The sequence below is a fragment of the Homo sapiens genome, chromosome 18, assembly GCF_000001405.40.
Source record: "Homo sapiens chromosome 18, GRCh38.p14 Primary Assembly".
NCBI lineage: Eukaryota > Metazoa > Chordata > Mammalia > Primates > Hominidae > Homo > Homo sapiens.
Genome location: NC_000018.10, coordinates 27,564,408 through 27,585,705, shown reverse-complemented (window position 1 = coordinate 27,585,705; position 21,298 = coordinate 27,564,408). Strand labels below are relative to the sequence as shown.

At 38.5% G+C, this 21,298-nt stretch overlaps 1 long non-coding RNA gene across 5 annotated transcripts in view, besides 1 other annotated feature; it reads left to right on the top strand.

Moving 5' to 3' along the window:
* LOC107985126 (uncharacterized) overlaps positions 1-21,298 on the top strand; it is a 93,388-nt gene that overhangs the window by 9,439 nt on the left and 62,651 nt on the right. For 3 of the 5 annotated variants that reach the window (XR_001753536.2, XR_001753534.2, XR_007066441.1), the window contains 2 exons: positions 3,691-3,735; positions 6,633-6,850. This is a non-coding gene — a long non-coding RNA (uncharacterized LOC107985126). Of the gene's footprint in view, positions 1-3,690; positions 3,736-6,632; positions 6,851-21,298 lie in introns of those variants that run through there. The other 2 variants (XR_001753535.1, XR_001753533.1) reach the window with 1 other exon arrangement.
* Positions 15,160-16,359: an enhancer, noted in NCBI's record as "BRD4-independent group 4 enhancer chr18:25149311-25150510 (GRCh37/hg19 assembly coordinates)". NCBI's record gives its function as "activates an origin of replication core promoter dependent on BRD2, P300/CBP, MED14 and CDK7 cofactors, and independent of BRD4, by STARR-seq in HCT116 cells {active_cell/tissue: HCT116}" and the evidence as "EXISTENCE:reporter gene assay evidence [ECO:0000049][PMID:35650434]".

Here is a 21,298-nt window from a genome sequence, read left to right as displayed (position 1 = left end):
GAGGCTCTGCAGAACCTTCTGACCTTTCAGGTTTGCATCCTTTTCCTATAGTTTTTCCCAACACTCTGACCGATCCCCCACATCCAGATGTCTGGTATTATATTAAGGCATACAGTTCAGTTAAATATCCTAATATTTAACTGATCCTAATATTTAACTAAACTGTAAGTTTTTTATATGAAGATATTCAACTGAACTGTAAATTTTTTATCTGGATATTTAGGCACAATGGAACCATAGACAAAAAGAGTAAGGTGAATATGCACGCCTTTGCATACTCTACAGAATAGCTTCAGAGTAGATGTGTATAAAAGGCATATAGCTGGGCCAGGCGTAGTGGCTCACGCCTGTATACACCCAGCACTTTGGGAGCCTGAGGTGGGCGGATCCCGAGGTCAGGAGATCAAGACCATCCTGGCTAACACAGTGAAACTCTGTCTCTACTAAAAATACAAAAAATCAGCCAGACGTGGTGGCAGGCACCTGTAGTCCCAGCTACTTGGGAGGCTGAGGCAGGAGAATGGCGTGAACCCAGAAGGTGGAGCTTGCAGTGAGCCGAGATCACACCCCACTGCACTCCAGCGTGGGCGACAGAGCAAGACTCCGTCTAAAAAAAAAAAAAAAAAAGGCATATAGGCATATAGCTATAGTTATAGCTATGACATATTTGAAAGTATTTCCAGCCTTTTCTTACATACTATCATGGAATAGCAGTTAGTTATTCTTATTTGTCTTTGAAGACGGTGCTGGTTTTTATTCAACCTAGTCATAAACTGAATCTGAAAAATAAAACTGTTTTAGACTAAAAAATCCCGAAGCCCAACTATTCTTTAAAGCATTGTGCTGATAGCCTCAGTTCATACAGGTCTACTGGCTATTAGAAACATATGGATATCACCTGGGAGAGGTTGCCTGCTACCCACTTGACTATACTTCTTTCAGCACCCTTAGTTCCACCATTAAGTTATAAGAGAAATAAAATAATGGTGCAATGCATACTCTGAGGTGGCTTCAGTAAAATGTGAGAATTAAATGAGAGCCAAGACCATTCCGAAGTAAGTAAAGCTAGATGCCTGACTCACATCAGAATCAACATAAATTTAACATGAATTTGATATTTAAATATAAAAAAATGAAATTGCAAAATTATTTTCTAAAATAAATTGTGGGTGCTTATTTACGTGATTCTGGGTGGAAAGAGCATTGTGAATACACAAAAAAGGGAGAAACCATAATGAAAAAGACTGATAAATGTAAGTACCTTAAATATACACAAGTAGGTATTGTGCATAGAAATGTGCACACACACGATGACTTCTGGGTATTAAAAAGACATTCTTTTTAAAAAAAAAGGCAAGGATAAACTGGAAAAAATCTTAAATGACAACGTTCGTATTTTCAATGATAAATAGCTCTTGCAGAACAACAAAAATAAGATAAACACCTCCAAAAATGGGCACTGTATTAAGAAAATGCAATGACCAATAAAAGGAAAAAATAAAATAGTACTAATTCAATTAAAAACAAAAAATATATAAATTTTAAATAAAACAGGCAAAAAAAAAAATAAAACATCTTAATGTTAGTGGGAAAAATGTGTATTTTCATGCACTGCTAGGAAACTTAGAGAAATGCCCCAAAAGCCTTAAATGTTTGCATGTTCCATGACATGATCTTTCCAGGTCCATGAATTTTTCCTAAGGAAATATACATAGTTATGCATCAAAATAGAAATATAAATCAAAAACACTGTTGATAATGCTGCAAAATTAGAATCAAACAAATTAAGTAAAAGTAAGTTTTGGCACATTAATTGGATGATACTTAATTACTAGTTTTTATTTCTTTAAAGTTATTTGGTACATATTATTGCAAGACAGTTTTTAAAAATACTGACAAATATATGTAACCCTAATATCAGGCCTGTGATGCAAGGCAGTTACTATAATTATCCTCATTTTACAGGCGAGGCCAATTTACAACTTTACAACTTTATACTTTCAACAGGCCATTTCACAATTGAGGCCCAGAGCAGTAACTGACAAGTTCAAGGTCATACAGCCAGTGAATGGTGGAATTTGTCCACCTGACCATGCAATATTCTTTAAACTGGCTACCTTCTAGTAATATTAATGAAAACAAGCTAGCATGTTTTCATTCCTAGAATTACAGTGTCCAAGTTAGGCCAGCAGTATTTGATATAATCACATTTCTTCCAAATTTTGCTTTCCTTCTGATCAAGAGCTGAATTTCTATGAGGGCAGAGAGAAAACAAAATCAGCCTTGGAAACATTCCACCTTAAAAGCCATTGTGGAGGATGCAAAGAACCTATTTTACATCATTCTGCACAGTGCTTATTCAGTATAAATGTCTTCTCTGAATGGCTTTCTGCTGTATGCTTATGAAACAGTCCATTTCAGTACACTCATATATACACTTCCTTTCCCCACCCCCCATCTTATCTTATGCTGTGAGCCAAAGAGTTAGAGCAGCGGCAGACAGTTTTGTACATTCTTGGACAATGAGTTCTAGTGTAAATTCTCTCATCCATAACCATTCTAAAATGCTATTCAGAACTGACTGTTTTGCAATGTATATTATTTATTTTGGTCTGACCTCAATTTCTGCTATGTATTTTACCCTTGATCAAGAGTTTTTGCATACTTCAAGCTGAAAAAGAATGAGCAAATGCTAGTGCAGGCATTACCCCCAAAAAAGAGAAGATGACTGTCTCTCTGCATATTCAAATGCAAGGATATATATGGGGGTTGGGAGTGTGTGGTGCATAACTCCAGGGAGAGAACACAGACGACAGCGGATAAGGTGGAAGTGATGGTAGTTAATTGACATTACGAAGGACAGCCTAACCATCATTACAACCTGTGATGTTTAACCAAAATTGGATGGGTGTGGAGGGCAGCCTTACTCTGGTGAGGCCCTAGTGAGGACTTCAGGGAAACCCAGAGGAAAGGAAGACAGTTGCTGCTGTCTGATGATTAATGGAAACACTAATCCTTTTACTCTTCCCTTTCAAATTTCCATTTTTCTCAATTAAGTCCACTCTCCTATCTTTGTTTCTGACATTGTATTGGGTTCTTGGTCTTGAGAAGGGGGATTCCAACTCAAATATTTTCATCAATTTGAATTTAGACATCTCTTAGTTGTTTAAGGGGCTAAGGATATAGATCCAGTTTAGTACAGACTTCATTTCCATTATTGATCAAGTCAGTGTCTGTAAAGATTTCTTCATCCCCAGGTAGTTATACTTCATAGGCTAAATAAAGAGCATGATATGGGGGCTGGCCTTTCTCCAAGGTAACGTTCCTCAAATCTGCATTCCTAAGTGTTCCGAAAGAAAGACAGCAAAGTATCCTCTGGTTAAAAACATTCAGGAAAAACTGGGTTAAATCAAATTGCTCAGTTTTCTTTACTCTGGGGCCATTCAACAACTTAAATATGCAAACATATCTTAGGTATTTTTCAAAGGGGGGGATAAATACTGATGTAGCATTTCCCAAAGAGAATTTCCCATAAGGATCCTGTTTCATGGAGCACAAATTGCCATTTGCTAGAGCTGAAGCCCTGCAGAACACATTTGAGGATGCTGATAAGGGCACATCCAACAAGCCTCTTATTGGGTTCTTTCTGTTGCCTCATCTTCCTTTTTTTTTTTTTTTTTTTTTTTGCAGTTCCTACTGAGCTCTCACTGGCAAACTATCAGTAGAAGAAGCCTGGTAGGTGGTCCTTTATCTCTTTAAAAGTTCTCCACGTAATTTGAGTAAGAGTGTCAAAAATTTTTTCAAAAACTTGCTTTTCCATTATAAAAACATACATACCAATCATAATAAGAAAATTATTAACATACCTAATCCCCCAAATATAGCCAACTTGTGTATATTTTTGTTACAGGGCCACCAGGTTTGTATGCCCACTATGTAGTAACAAACCAATACACTGAAACAGCAGGGTTTGCAGCAGAGAAACAGTTTCATGATTGCAGGGTGGCCAAGAGGCCAAGGCGGGAGATGGGAGGACCCTCAAATCTGTCTCCCTGAAGAGTTCTGGCTTGGAGCTTTTAAGGAGATCATGGAGGGCAAGGGGCTGTAAAACTGGGGCCATTGATTGGTTGGGATAAGGATGATGAAATCATCGGGATGTGGAAACTGCATTCTTTGGTGAGCAAGTCAGCTCCTATGGGGTTGTTGACAACAGCTGACTTTAGTAGTTTTATTGGTATGCAGGACCTGAAGGAATATCTCAAATGAAAAACTTAACATTTCACATCATTCAAGTTCTTATCTATAGAGCAGTTAAAGGGAACTATAGTCTTGTGGCAAGGTCTGCGTAATTCTTGGGTAACAGGCACCAAACAAGTATGAGGAAGCAGGTCAGAAAGCAGCTGACCTAATGATTAATGCCAAATGTGCTGCAAACTTGGCTTATTTTCATTTCTCTCCCTTTTTTCCCTAATTAATTTTATAAAGTTTATAGGGATGGTTTAATTTTAGTTTATTTCATTTCAAACATTTTTACTTATCATTTTTTAAGTCAGTTAGTATCATGCTATATAATAATTTTGTATCCTTTTTTCAACTTTGCATCATTTCAATAGTATGTCCTAATGATATTACAAATTGTGCAAACAGAACATTTGGAATAAAACCCAAACTATTAAGCCCATCAAGGCCTTACATGTCTGGCCTTCTGCTTCCAGCTCCAGAGGAAGATCCTAACTCCCTGTTTCTTTGAAACAATCTTTGGGCACACTTGTCTCCTTGCTAGTTTCCATGTCAGAGCTTTAGCACTTACTTTTGATCTTCTGGAAACTTCTTCCAGATCTTTAAAAGGTGTGCTCCTTTTCATCATATAGTTTAATGATAATTACACAGGTTAGGAATACTGATTTTCTGTCTCCCAGGAGTAACATATCTGTTAGTATTAAGAAGTAAAATTCTGCTATTTTAGTAGTATTATACCATCATTGCACCAATAATAATAATCTGAAATTGGAATCGTTAATGTTTTGGAATCAAGATAAAAAATTCAATTATTCTATTTCTATAAGAAGACAAAACAAAGTTGTATGTACACATCTGGAGTGGTCCACACCTACAGAGATGACAATGTATTGAGGTATTGCAGAGCTTCTACTGCAATTATAATTCTCACTTTAGTTCAAAGACAGAGTGAGTGGAATATAAATATGAGAGTACTGATATTGATTTATCTATATATGATAAAACTGATATTGATAAAATCTTTGAAAATTCTTATCATTAAGAAATTTACTTCTTAATAATAACAGATATGTTACTCCTGGGAGACAGAAAATTAGTATTCCTAACCTCTGTAATTATCATTAACTATATGATGAAAAGGAGCACACCTTTTAAAGATCTGGGAGAAGTTTCCAGGCAGTTTTACCTATATATGATAAAACTCAAACTATGACAAACTACAAGTCTTTTTTGAAACAAAAACTACAGCTTTCCATCAATAAAAACACTGAAGTTCCTTTAAAAATATCAAAATAAACATATAAACATGGTTTTTCAAGAGATCTTTTCAAAGATTTTATCAAGAAGTGGAGTTATTAGAAAGAGTCAGAAGAAAATATTTGGTGTTAGTTCAACAAATGGCATACAATGACCTTTGCTACAAAATTATGACATTAATGCACTTTGTTGGTTAGTACATAGACTAAATTATGTTACTTTTGACATTTTCTTGTTAAATTAAATGTCTTCATTTTGTTGGATGTTTATTTTTAAGTAAGAATTTCCTTCTAACAATTTTATCACCTAATAATTTATATTTAAAATGATAATGCTTCTTTGTCCTTTGAATTTATGAGTGTATGATGTCATAATACATTTACAGATTTTATATTTGAAATATATTAAATATCTAGTTTCATGGAATTTTATTTTATTTTGTGAAATTTGAACTTTTTTTCTTTTTGTAAAATACCAGTAGGTTCAGTATTACGTAAAATAACTGATGAAATAGCACTGTATCCTTTTGTTTTCAGTATTACCTTCCCTAATCACTAATTTGGGTCTCTTGTCAAATGTCACCATCTCAGAAAGGCCTTTCTGGACTACTCCGCCCAAAATAGAACACTCTAAACTCCCACACCTGTCCCTTTCATTAACCCACATTGCTTAATACTTTGCTATTTTTTATGCTTCTTCTTGCAAAAGAATGCAGTCTCCCTGAGGGTAGAAACATTTCTGTTTGTGTGCCCAGTGCATAGAAAAATGCTCTGCATAGAGTGGGTGATCAATACATATTTATTAAATGAATGTGGTAATAACTGAATTGGAGATATATTTATTTGTTTTTGGACAGCTAATAATACTAATGGTTACTATATAAGTTGCTAGTATGTGGGAGTTCTTAGTATTGATGCTGAGATGCATACCTTTGTATATAAAGCTATTTTCAAATTTGGTATTATTTATTTAAGATGAAAACCAATTTTTAAAATCACTGGGTCTAAGATAATGACTATTCTAAAGTGACTAGAAATCCATTTCAAAATTGCTCTTTGGGGAGATTATATGAATTTACATCTCTACCAATGATTCATTCTCACTTTACTGTTTGACTTTCAAACTTCTGTTCATAGGCTTCTTTCTCTGCTAGTGTTGGCGTCTCCCTGCTTTCTTCCTTTCAAATGATGGTATTAGATCTGTCTTTCTCTACTACGAGCTGCAATGCCCCTGTTACAGAAAAAAAAGATTTGAGGAGACAGCTTGAAGCACCATGGTTGTTTTCTTAGAAGTTCTCTGTAAAATTTTTCATGGTATATGATCTTAAAAATTAAAAACAAAATTTACTGAAAAATCGTCAATTTCTTCCAATATGCCTTTGCAATCATTACTATGAACAAACAAAACTAGGTGCCTTTCAGAGCATGGACTTGAGTTTGTATTTTCATTTAGTTTTTATACTAGCAAATTGTTTTATAGTGATTTATATAATGTCTAACATTTTGAATTTTGCCAATATACAAACAATCCTGTTTAGGTTTTGTTAACAGTTTGCTTGTCAAAATCTGTATGTGAATATGACCACTGAGGCAAGATATTCTTTCTTTCTTCTTTCTTTTTCTTTTCTTTTTTAAATACATGCTTTTATTTTGGAGGGCTAATAAATGTGGAATGCTGTGCATACATCTGCAAGGTACCACCTTTAGCTTTGGAGGCTTTTATTCTAGATATCTGATAATAATTACTGCATAAATAAATTCATAACACAAAGCAGTTAGAAGCAGTCTAATTGCAACAATTAATTTGTAGACTTACCTAATTAAACTTCCCTAGCCAGAATGTGTTGTCTGCATACATCAAAGTTTACAAAAGAGAAGTAATAGAGCAGAATAAAGAATGACATTGCCCCTAATAGAGTCCCTTGAGGAACTTCTAAGGTTAAAATAAAAATCTATCAATGCTGAACAAGAAAATATGCAGTTCAGCTGCAATGATGGATGGTTCTGCTAACCTTCATGCAAAGCAATGCTGACACATAATATTACTGAAACAGAAATGAGCATATCTTCGTCTACCTTTTTGCTTTTATAATGTGGCTGAAATGGTCTGGGAGTCTGAAAACTCTTTTTTTATATCATACTTGGAAACATTAAGATGATCCTGATCGCTTTCTTCCTCTTGAGACTTCTATAGCTACTTGTTTATCTGCTTTCTTGGCTTCATGTAAGAGTTGAGTAATTTCACAAATGCATGCTGAGGATAGAAAACTGCACAGCATGCACCTTTGCTAGCACAAAAGGGCTTGCCCTGCCACCGTGGGACACAGGCGAATTCCAATTTCCCAGTCTTGTATGCGACATATACAAGAACAAATGACAATTATAATGTTAAATTATTTTTACAGAGAGGGAAAGAAAAAATTTAAATGGCTAAAAGGAAATAGCAGAGGTCAGTTTAACTGGGAAATAGTACTATCAAAATTTTTCAAGAGCACGTCATTAAGCCTTTAATTTTTCAAAAGCCTTTGTTTTCATCTTTCTTTTTATCTCCCACATTGGTAGCTAATTCTTTTAATCTCCTTGGTATCGATTAACAGATAAGGCACTCTCACTTTCAACCTTGCATTACAACTCTTTCCTGGGCATCTCACTGCCCTTACTAAACTAAAAGTGTCTGTCCACCCTGCTTACTGCCATGGCCTGCCTCCACCTTCCACCACCTCCTCTGTCCACTCCCCATCCATGCCTGGCAGTGACTGCTGGCTGCTATGTAAATGCCCTGCCCTGCCGGAGCTCCTGAGCCATCCTAAGAAGACCAGGCTGAGTATTAGGGTTCCCAGTTCTCATCTGTCCCCTGCTAGTGATAACAAGTATGAATTTAGTTAGCAAGTTTGGATGGTGAATTATTGACTGCTAACGGACCATCCAATCAGCAGATCTTAAGGTGACCTTCAGCCTTTTCTTAGCACACAGTTGCTGCCCGGGGGCAACTACCTCTCACTTACGAGGCATGCGGATGAATATTCTTACTAAAATAAAGGATAAATTAACTTATAAGGCCACCTAAATAGGGATGATGTTAATAAAAAAATTATTAGGAAATTACTATGGGAGATCAAGCCTTATTTTTTAATTTAATTTAATTTAATTTAATTATTTATATTTTTGAGATGGAGTTTCGCTCTCGTTGCCCAGGCTGCAGTGCAGTGGCGCGAGGCTCACCACAACCTCCACCTCCCAGGTTCAAGACATTCTTCTGCCTCAGCCTCCTGAGTAGCTGGGATTACAGGCATGTGCCACCATGCCTGGTGAATTTTTTATTTTTGGTACAGACGGGCTTTCTCCATGATGGTCAGGCTGGTCTCGAACTCCCGACCTCAGGTGATCCACCCGCTTCAGCCTCCCAAAGTGCTGGGATTACAGGCGTGAGCCACCATGCCTGGCTAATCAAGCCTTATTTTTAGGCACTTTACTATGTCTCTTATTGTATCCCAATCTATCTCTGGAAAAGTAGGTAGGAGTAAGAGGCAGACAAGATAGGACACATACAAGAATTTCCTCATGTGTTTTGCATAGAAACTTTCATTAAAGTTCTAGCATTAAATAAAAAAGTAAATAACACCCAGAGGATATTTAAAACACATATTAGGGTGCAAAATATGTGAGACTTGACTGATTGTGAGGCTTCCTTTACCATTTCATGTAGAAAACATAAATTCTTAACTTCGGCGGGGAGGCCGAACAACAATAAATATGTTGGCTCCCTTCAAGTCTGTTATTGATACCATTATTATCTCTTTATTTTCTCTTCCATATTTTTAAACCGATAGTAGCCCCTTTTAATTTTATTTTGTTTTATTTATTTATTTTTCTGAGATGGAGTCTTGCTCTGTCACCCAGGCTGGAGTGCAGTGGCATGATCTCCGCTCACTTCAACCTCTGCCTCCCGGCTTGAAGCAATTCTAGTGCCTCAAACTCCCAAGTAGCTGGGATTACAGGCACCCGCCACCACGCCCGACTAATTTTTGTATTTTTAGTAGTGGTGGGGTTTCTCCATGTTGGCCAGATTGGTCTTGCCTGGCCTGACCTCAAGTGATCCACCCGCCTCAGCCTCCAAAATGCTGGGATTAGAGGCATGAGGCACTACTCCTGGCCAATAGTAGTTTTTCAAATGACCAAATGAAACAGTTCCCACTAAATTTTAAGAGTCTTCTTTCAGTTCTATCAAGGAAAATATAATTCCAACAATTGTTTTGCCTAGAAAGATTACCTTTGTTTAGACTGAGCTCTATTTGTGATTCATACCCACGCAGCGTGACAATATAATAAAGGTGGGTGGAGAGAGACTAAGAAAATCAGAAAATGTCTTGGTTAATTTCTAATCAGACTATTAGTATGACATCATTATTCTATTTTACATGTAGATTCCCAGGGCATTAGTTGTGGTTAAATTCAAATGCAAGCGTAATGTCATATCATGTAAAATACAAATGATCTTTGAGCCTATAAAATAATAGACTATTACCACCATTTGTTAAAGTAGAAAATGAGGAGCTTTCAATCCCTGTACCTAGGACACATTATTGAATTTATATATCTGAGTCAAATACATTTGACTTTGAAATGTGTCAGCCACAGAAGGGTGTACATATAAAATTCAGGTCAAAATAAAATAAAAGCAAATCCTATCTTCTGATGTAAATTAAATTAGAAACTCTCAGAGCAATAGGATGAAAGAAAGATAATAAAGTTTTGGTAATGGAATTAACCATGAAAGAAACCTTCCCTTTCTGACCTCTTTTGAAACACTATCTGCTTTTGGCTTCTCTGACAACACTCCCTCTTAGGTGCATATTCTCAGTAAACTGTACTGGCTCATTCTTTTATTGGAATCTCCTCTGGGCTTTATCTCAGCCCTTTTTTCGTTTGGTTCTATCTCAGTGTCTGTACTAGTGGGATCCCTGAATCAGTGGCATCAACAAATCTGATACTGTCAAGGATGCACAGTTCAGGCCCCACCCCAGAATCTCAAAACTTATTTACTAGATCAGAAACTCTGGAGTGAAGCTCAGCAAATCCTCTAGATGATTCTGAACATACATCCAAGTTTTAGAACCTCTTCTCTCTCTTCTTATGAGGCTTTCTGGTCCTTGACTACTGGCTTCAGGTGCAATGTACATACTGCGGAAGATTGTATTTTCCAAAGATGGTCACATACATATCTACATATCTCCTGTCTCAAAAACCCTTTCAGAATCTTGCTAAGCCTCCATCAAGAGGTGGAATCTCGGCCGGTCGTGGTGGCTCACGCTTGTAATCCCAACATTTTGGGAGGCTTAAGTGGGCGAATCACCTGAGGTCAGGAGTTCGAGACCAATCTGGCCAACATGGTGAAATCCCATTTCTGGTAAAAATACAAAAATTAGCCAGGCATGTTGGAGGGCACCTGTAATCCCAACTACTCGGGAGGCTGAGGCAGGAGAGTCGCTTGAACCCAGGAGGTGGAGGCTGCAGTGAGCCGAGTCCGCCCCATTGCACTCCAGCCTGGGCGACAAGTGCAAAACTCCATCTTAAAAAAATAAATAAATAAAAGAAGTGGAATCTCATTACTCTGCTCTTGAATTTGGGCAGATTTGTGACTTGCTTATAACCAATAATGCGCAGTGTAATTGAGTTTGAGTAATTTCTGAGAATAAGTCATAAATGGAGAGTCTTCTGTTTGGCTTGTTAGAACATCTCGACTTGGGTTCTTGAACCACCAAGTAAGAAGTCTGACTTTCCTGAGTTTGCCATGACGTAAGGAAGCCAGCTGCACAGAGACACAACATGAAAGCTCTCTGCTCTAGTCGGCAGTCCTAGACTTTAGGCTCTTTCTGGTTAGGAACCAGACATGTGAGTGCAGGAGCCCTCAGCTGACTCCAGCCCCATTTGTGGAGCTGCCCTCCTGCCTTTGAGTTTTTCCAGCTGTGGCCTGAACATCACAGAACAGAGTCAAGCCATCCTTGCTGTGTTTTTTCTGTGTTCTTGACTCACAGACCCCTTGAGCACAATAAAATGATTCTTCCCTTCCCATAAAGTTTGAGGTGGTTTGTTACATATTGATAGTAACAGGAACATGCAGTAATGTCCAAATGTATATCTCTACTTCAAACTTCTATTTAAGGTCCAGAACTGTACATCCAATTGCCTACCTGACAGCTCCACTTGGAAGTTCACAGGCATCACAAACTCAAGAAGCAAATAAGAAAAAAAAAAAAAAGGAGAAGACAAGAACTGACGAGTTAGAAAATCTTAAAACACATGCACACACACATTCACACACACACACAAACCAACATAATTAATTAATAAATCAAAAGGCTTGTACTTTAGAGGAAAAAAAATCTACAAAATAGATAAATTTCTAGCAAATCAAACTTTCATAAAAGAAGAAAGCAAAATTCATAAAATGGGAAAGTTTAAATAACCACCAAAGAGAGGAAAAATTTAAAAGAGACTTCTTTGCATCACTTTATATAAATAAATTTGAAAATCGATATAAAATGTTTAACTTTCTGGAAAAATGCAATTAATAAAATTGACTGCAATAGAGATAGAAGTTCTCTTCTGACAAATTTTCATATAAGAGTTAAAGAAAGTTGTAAAAGAGCTCTTCCACAAAAAATACACTTGAAGACCAGATGGCTTCTTGCATTATGCTCCCAAACTTCACAGGGTTAGGTATTCTCAATCCTATTTCACCATTCCAGACCACTGCAAAAGTAAGAAACCTCCAAATTTGTTTTATGAAATAAATTTACATTGATATTAAAACTGACAAAGAATATACCAAATGTACTATAGTGCAATCTCACTTATGAGTATCAACACAAAAATGTCAATAAATTAGCAACAGAATCCCACATCCTTATAAAAACAACATATATCATGTCATGACCAACTGGACTTAATCATATTAATAACAGAAGAAAAGCATGCAATTATCTTCATAGAGCATTAAAAGATTGTTTGTGAAAGTTTGGCTGGGCGCTGTGGCTCATGCCTGTAATCCCAGCACTTTGGGAGGCTGAGGTGGGCAGATCACCTGAGGTCAGGAGTTCGAGACCAGCCTGGCCAACATGGTGAAACCCTGTCTCTACTAAAAATACAAAAAATTAGCCAGGTGTGGTGGCAAGTGCCTGTAATCCCAGCTACTCAGGAGGCTGAGGCATGAGAATTGCTTGAACCTGGGAGACAGGGGTTGCAGTGAGCTGAGCCAAGATTGCGCCATTGCACTCCAGCCTGGGGGACAGAGCAAGATTCTGTCTCCAAAAAAAAAAAAAAATTGTCAAAATTCAACTCTCATTCATGCTTCAAAAAATACACTTGAAAAAGAAATTGGCAGATGTCTCATTCATATTATGCATGTATACATATTGGTGTTACATAAATCATATCTACCCTGCTGAAAATTCTGTGGGGCTTCTCCTTGTTTTCAAATTAAAACCAGTATCTTTCACCTGGTGTTACGGACTGAACGTTTGTGTCACCCCAAAATTCTTATGTTGAAACCCTAACCCCAAGGAGATGATATAGGAGGCCTTTGGGAGATAATTAGGTCATGAGGGTGGAGCTCTCGTGAATGGAATTAGTGCCCTTACAGGTGAAGACAGGACAGTCTGCTTCCTCTCTCTGCTATCTGCCATGTAAGGATACAATGAGAAGATGGCCATCTGCAAACCAGGAAGTGGACCTCACCAGAAGCAAATCTGCTGACACCTGGATCTTAGACTTCGCTGCCTCCAGAAATATGAGAAATGGCCTGTGCGTCCATGAGTAATCTGGTGTTGACTACCTTTTCTAGTTTCATCTCTTATCTTCCTCCTGCTCATTTTCTGAACTCTAGCCACAATAGATGCATTTTTAGTTTCTTGAACCCACCGTATTCTCTTTAGTGTCAAGACCTTTGCTATTACCTTTCCTTGAATGTTCTCACCTCCATTCTTTTGATAAATTTGTATATATTCTTCAGATCTTAGAACCAGGAATTTCTCCCCTGACGCCTATGACTGTGTCAGACTCACACTTCCCCATTCCCAGTCATTACATGCCCTCCATGAAACACATAATTTCTTTCATAGGAGATTGAATGTTGGTACATAAGTTATTTGTTCACTGTTAGTTGTGTTCCCTGACAGCAAGCAGTGTATTTGGTTATTTCTCACCATTGTCTCAACACTTAGTGCAGTGCCTAACACATAGTAAGCATTCTGGTATATGTGTAAACTGAATGAATTGACGAATTTCTAGGGAAACTAAGACAGTCATGATGTAGTCCAAAGCATACTGGAAATGAGGAAATAACATTTGGGTTCCTTCTCCACTGTATCTTAGCTATGGATCTTATTTCTGATAATTTCATTTTACAGTAGAAGAATAATGTATTAGCAAACTTTAGAGCAACATACAAATGAAATCTGCTGTTCTCTTTAACAATTTCAAAGTGTTCTTGATATCTTAGCTTTATGGAACCAGGTGAAATGTATAGCTATTAATGACATTATGCAATGCAAAAGTTTACAGTATCCAGGCATTCTAGGATAAAGTAGTAAAAACACCATGGGCCCCTGTCTGAACCCAGGCTCTGCTGCTCAGTGACTTCGTGATCTTAGGACTTGAGGTCACACCTCTGAGCCTCGTGTGCTTCGTTCAGAAAGATGACAATACTACTTATGGAAAGAGTGGAGGCTCAACAGAGGTAAAAAGCAGTGAAAGTTATTTTCCTCTTTACACTTTAATACAGTTGTGTGTGTGTGTGTGTGGGTGTGTGTCTGTGTGATTGTCCAAGCCAGGAATTGTTCATTTTTCTAGGGCCCTAATTATGGATTTTTATTTTAGAGATAGGGTTTTGGTCTGTTGCACAAGCTAGAGTGCAATGGCATAATCATAGCTCCCTGCAGCCTCAAACTCCTGGGCTCAAGCAGTCCTCCTGCCTTGGCATCTCAGGTAGCTGGGACTATGGGCATGAGTCACCATGCCCAAGTTGTGGATTTTAAATATGAAGAAAGGAACAAATTGAAGATATAAGAGTTGTAGGGACCACTTCCAATGGTGTTTCTACTGTCCCTTTATCCTATTTTCTACCCCAAACAACAATTAATTACATTGGCTACACTGGCTTTAGCCCTCTGCTTATATAATTCTTCTCTTTTCTTTGTTTTTCTTCTGTTTTGTTTTTCTAACTAAATATCTTGCTAGAGCTTGCCTTTCTATCACTCCCATATTTTTTTCTCACCACTAGTGTCTGTTTACAATGGGGAAATTGTTTTGGTGCTTTTAAAAAAGTCATTTTGGAGCAGAAATGATTGGCAGCATTGACAGTCTATAACAAATCCACTACCACATTTGAGGTGGCTTTAACTGATGGGTTTTGTCTCTGTTTTTCAGTAGCAATATCAGATTGTAGGTCTCTTTAGAGAGAATCTCCTCACAAGAGTGTTCCAAACATTGCAGTTTCACTGGCAGCAATTTGTGAATTTATCTTTGGGGAAGAGTATACACAGATCTCAATGTGACATATCTAGTGACAACACATGACAATTTAATTGTAAGGAGAGTAATGGAAGTCTTATCAGATCCATAAGAGTCTTCGAGAACATGAACATAATTCTTTAACATAAACACTCATTGAAATACTCTCAAATTTGCTCACTGACATAGTCCGAAACTCAGTGATACTCTGAAATATGCTTGACTGATTTTTGGGCCTAGTATATTCTTTTTCTTTTCTTTTCCTTTTTATTCTCATTTCACTTTAATGATTATGCAAGACCCCAGTATAACAATTGACCCAGCAGATTTCACTCACATTAATGACCAGAGTATAACCCTTTAAACCTTTAAGACATATGCTTCAGATTTTAAGTTTTGAGAGGTTTTCTTCTACTTGTTTTATTCTGTCATTGAAGCTTTTGAGTTTACTTTGTATTTCATCTAGTGATTTTTTTTCAGTTTCAGAAGTATTGTCAGGTTCCTTTTAAAAATATCATTGCAGTGGGTAAATTGTTCCTGCAGACCCTTGTTTCCATCTTTTCCCTTTGTTCTTTTCCAAATGACTCTTGCACCTTGCCCATTGACTGTATAATCAGTATATTCAATTCTCTATCCAAAATATCTTCAGTTTCTTTTGGATTGGGATTGGTTGCTGGAGAATTACTGGGTTCCTTTGGAGGCGTCACATTTCTTTGCTTTTTCATGTTTCCTGTGTCCTTTTGTTGAGATCTGCACATCCTGTGTAAATCGCTTCTTCCAAGTGAGAGGTGAAGCCAGCTGGACTTCCTGGGTCAAGTGTGGACTTGGAGAACTTTTCCGTCTAGTTAAAGGATTATAAATGCACCAATCAGCGCTCTGTGTCTAGCTAAAGGTTTGTAAATGCACCAATCAGCACTCTGTAAAAACGCATCAATCAGCACTCTGTAAAACGGACCAATCAGCAGGACATGGGCGGGGCCAAATAAGGGAATAAAAGCTGGCCACCGGAGCCAGCAGCGGCAACTGGCTGAGGTCCCCTTCCACTCTGTGGAAGCTTTGTTCTTTCGCTGTTCGCAATAAATCTTGCTGCTGCTCACTCTTTGGGTCTGTACTACCTTTATGAGCTGTAACACTCACTGCGAAGGTCTGCAGCTTCACTCCTGAAGCCAGCAAGACCAGGAACCCACCGGGAGGAATGAACAACTCCGGACGCGCCACCTGTAAGAGCTGTAGCACTCACTGCGAAGGTCTGCTGGTTCACTTCTGAAGTCAGCAACACCATGAACCTACCAGAAGGAAGAAACTCTGGACACATCTGAACATCTGAAAGAACAAACTCTGGACACACCATCTTTAAGAAGTGTAACACTCACCACAAGGGTCCGCAGCTTCATTCTTGAAGTCAATGGGACCAAGAACCCACCGGAAGGAACCAATTCCAGACACACAAGTTTGTCAATTTGCTTTGTAGTGGGGGACATCTTCCCGTTTCCCCTACCCGGGAGCTGCAGGCGGTCTCTGCCAATCCGATTTCTCCGTTCAGGCTGCCCGGCTGCCTCTGCTCAGCTCCTCAGGCTCCCTGTGACTTCTCAGCTGAATCCCTGCGTTCTCTTAGTCGATCTGTTCCGAGTGTGAAAATCTACTGGTTCCTTTGGTTCCCTTTGGAGGAGAGGCGCCTGCTGGCTGCATCTACCTGCCACCTTGAGCCTGTGGTCCTAGGTGGGAACAGGTCCCGCGTGTGCGAGTTACTTAAGGGCGTTCCCTGGAGGCTCCTGGTCCTCTTTTTCTGAAAAATCTTACAAGTATTTCCTTGCACACATCCCCCATCATCACCCCCACTCCCAGCCCCACCCCCTGCAGTGAAGCTGGAACAAATGATTCTTGAGGAGCATTAGGCAATCCCTAAATTCTTGCCATCAACACAGTTGGGGCTGCCCAGACTAGCATAGTGCCCTGGCTACTATTTCCTTGCCCAGAACAAAGAATAGGTCAGTCAGGCCAGGCCTTACAGGCTTATGTCTGTTTCAAATTGCTTAAAAATGACCACTTGGATTTGGCTGAGTTTACTTTTTTCTTTGTTTTGCTATTGAATGAGCAAATTCACAGTGCATAGTATGTCTGAAGTTATAGATCCAGGGGGATCTACTTCTCAGGGCTTCACTGGTCTTTCAGGGAGGGATGCTGGTACTTCCATGGTCTCAGGCAGCTGCGTGAATGGAGGAGTCCGCCTCATCCAAAGAGCCCAGACCCATTTAAAACAATTTTAGAGTGAAGAAAGAAGTGATTCTTTGAATCTAAATCATGGCACCTCACCTAGACTGAACGCCTGGGTTCCAGATTCATGATTTCCTGCCTTGCCATCATGAACTTCTGCAATGGATTTTTCTCTGCATCATCTGCCGTATCTGCAGTTTTGGTGCAGCAGGACTGGCCATGGCCATAAACCCAGAAAAATAGAATTTTTGAGGAAAATGAGTGAGGTAAACGTACAAAGCAGAATAGGTTCCTGGGGTATTAATCTATGATCTATGATAAAAGGACCATTGAGAAAGTCTCTTTTTACCTTCAGGGAGTGGTGGAAATAAATATAATGTAGATGAAAGCATACAATTTCACAGTATGTGTATTCCGACTGGAAGAAAGGGAGAAGGTAATATTGTCAACAGAGAGTCAGCTACTCTGCCCCTGCGCAGGCCATCTTCAGGAAAGCACCAGCTAATTGTCCCATTTAAATAGCTGCTTGGTTACGACTTCATCTGAATGTTAATGATTTCCTTATTCATAAAGTCTTAGGTGTTCACCAAGCAGTGGCATCTTGCTTTTCCTTTTCATAAGCTCCCTTTTGACTACAAGTATGCACAACATTTATTAATTCATCTACTCTATTCAGATGCATTTGAAGCCAGTGTCTTCTTTCCCCTTTCCTTTTAAATGAAAAGAAACTAAAATTGAAAAGAAATCTTTCATCTCACCACCATTCCCTTGAATGTGAGAGCTTTTCTGCCACTCGTAACCTCTTGTGGAGTTGTTGAGTAGGTTTTCTTACAAAGTAAGGCAGTGTATTTTGCTTTTAGAGAATAAAGAATGATTTTTTAAATACCATACATCATCAAGTAGATTTCCATTAGCACTGTGGTCAGTTTTATTAAATGGTATGAATACCTCTATTATGTGCTAGAAGCACTCATTCTCCTTTCAGAAATACATTGAAAATAATTTGATGTCAATTTCCATGGTGACAGAAGAGAAGAACATCACTAAGAACCATAATAAGTACACACACACACACACACACACACACACACACATATATACACACATATGAGTTACTGTGGAACACTGAGTTGGTCCCTTTTTGTCAAGAGTTCTCTGTTTTTTGTTGTTATTATCATTTCATTACCTGAGAAGAAAAAAATGTTTCTTAGAAAAATGTAGGGCTATTATTGAATCACATCTTTTTTTTTTTTTTTTTTTTTTTTAGATGGAGTTTTGCTCTTGTTGCCCAGGCTGGAGTGCAATGGCGTGATCTCAGCTCACTGCAACCTCCACCTCAGGTGTTCAAGCAATTCTCCTGCCTCAGCCTCCCGAGCCACCGTGCCCGGCCAAATCACATCCATTTTTTTTTAGATGGAGTCTCACTCTGTCGCCCAGGCTGGAGTACAGTGGCGTGATCTCAGCTCACTGCAAACTCCGCCTCCCAGATTTATGCCATTCTTCTGCCTCAGCCTCCTGAGTAGCTGGGACTACAGGCGCCCGCCACCATGCCCGGCTAATTTTTTGTATTTTTAGTAGAGACGGGGTTTCACCGTGTTAGCCAGGATGCGGGCCAACCAATTTTTTTCATGAAATTATGCTTCAAAAGAAGAAGAATATTTTAATAATAGAACTCCTTCTGGATGGAAAGGGTTTAATATAAGGTGTCAGTTCCTAAGATTCTCTTTACTTTGCCAAATATCACTTAACCATGTTTTTTATTGTTTACAAAGCAGAGAAACTACTGGATAAGTACTATATCGATATACCTTCCTGTCATTCTTTTCTTCCACCGTTTGTGCCTACTTGGTATCACATGTTAAACCTATATGAAAATGGATATATTCATTATTTTTATTGGTGCAGTAAGTTGCGAGGGATGTACTTAACTTGTTTTGCTCTCTCTGGGTTCCAGAATCACACCAAAAATTGTCAGACAGGGACCTCCCAGTCCAGGTAGGATCTATATCATCTTTTAAAGAACTTTACAGAGTCAAGACTTCCAAAAAGAGACATACAATTAGTTGAACATGAATGAGCTCACACTATTGGTTTACTCTCTATTTTACCTTATTAAATACAACAAACTCAAGTAATATACCTGCGCTGGTCAAGATACCTCCCAGTTATTCCACATACAGAAATTCATGAAGAACCTGAAGCCTGTAGCCAGATGTATCTAATGCACTTGTCTCCATCCGAGTCCTGCTTGCATTCTCTGCTTTCGTTACCCTGTGGCTGTGTCCTTCTTCTTGCCTACATCCCATACCAGTCTCTATTAAAATGGTTTATTGCTTCTATCAGAACTTCAACTGCTTTTTGCAGAAATTCGTTAATCTTCCTTCCTGCAGTGATCTCTTTCTTACCTATGTGTCTAAGGAAGTTCAGCTTTGCGCTCTACTCCCTCTGAACATTGCTGGACTCAATTACTGAGAAAGCTCTAGAGATGGCTTTCTCTCTGCTTGCCAGCAGCTCTTTTGCACCTTTTCTATAGTTAGCAGAAGGGATTTCCTTGTCTTAAATTTTCTCCAAGTTGGGCATGATTCAGAAATGACTGTAAAATCAGAGAGGGATTATGTTCTTGTGGCCACCTCTGGCTTTGGGATTTACCTCCACTTAATTAACCCAGGTAATGGATCACGTGACTGTCTTTAGCAGCTGCTCCTCTTCCACGTGGTGATATGGGGTGCACTGATGGAGTTGGACCTTTCCCTGATTTACACACACACTGAGATTCACAGAGAGAGAAGAGTACACCTCACTGAAGACTCACAGGAAGTTACACTGTAGAAATTTAAAAACTTGAAATTGTATATTAGATGTCCTTCTTCTGAAAGTCTTTTAACTACCCTACCACTTGAGATTTTTCCCTAATCTGTCATAATTTATTTTCTATTATTTATCTCTCCTTCTTTTCTCTTACTTCTCCCTCAATTTTTCAAGATTTCTGCCTTCCAAATTCTTCTATTTGGTGGAGCAATTGGATTATTCCTCTGCTTCTACTCTGAAGCTCAGTCCCAGGCTTCCCCAAACCCACCATAGTGCTCAGGTAAACATAAGGACCATCTACTCCACTAACAGTAACACAGAAGCCTGGCAAAGAACTTGAAATTTCACTTAACAGGAATGTAGCTATGATTTCAGATCTATTTTCCTACTATCCTGGTTATAGTTTCATTATATTTTACATTGATCTGAACAAAATCAGCATCATCATATTCAATTTGTGACATTTCATTTTGAAAAGGACTTGACTGAAGCAGAGTTAGAGGAAGAGAAAGTTGAAAAAAATTGACTATTAGCAACTATTATGATAATTGAGATACATTAATCTGAAAAAAGACCCACTTGGGCAAATGAGAAAAATTAGTGTATTCATCACTTATTAGAAATATTCCTATAGAAAGTACTTAATGTGCTACCCCTTCTTAAAGGGTTAAGAAATATGAACCACTTGGGAGGCCAGGGCAGGCGGATCAGCAGGTCAGGAGATTGAGACCATTCTGGCTAACATGGTGAAACCCCGTCTTTACTAAAAAAAATACAAAAAAATTAGCTGGGCATGGTGGCAGGTGCCTGTAGTCCCAGCTACTCGGGAGGCTGAGGCAGGAGAATGGCGTGAACCCGGGAGGCAGAGCTTGCAGTGAGTAGAGATTGCGCCACTGCACTCTAGCCTGGGCAACAGAGCGAGACTCCGTCAAAAAAAAAAATATGAACCACGTTTATTAACTTCATAGTTATGTAAACTGTTTGGTGGTGGTAATTTTGTTGCAATTAAGTCAAATAAGGCTTTCATTCTAAAAAAAGTACCTGCAAATGGAAGTAAAATCTAATTTGAGAGGACAGTTTACCCACTGTCCCTGCAAAGTGACATAAAATTCTTCATAGGATAACACAAACTCTGGTGTGACCTTGGAAAGAGTGGACACAAACAGCTGCCTATATATTTTTGTGTTCAGCTCTTTCAAACAAAGTTTATCCAAAAAGTATGCCATGATGAGTACGTGACTGAGCCTTCCAGAGTGGAGCCAGTTACATAA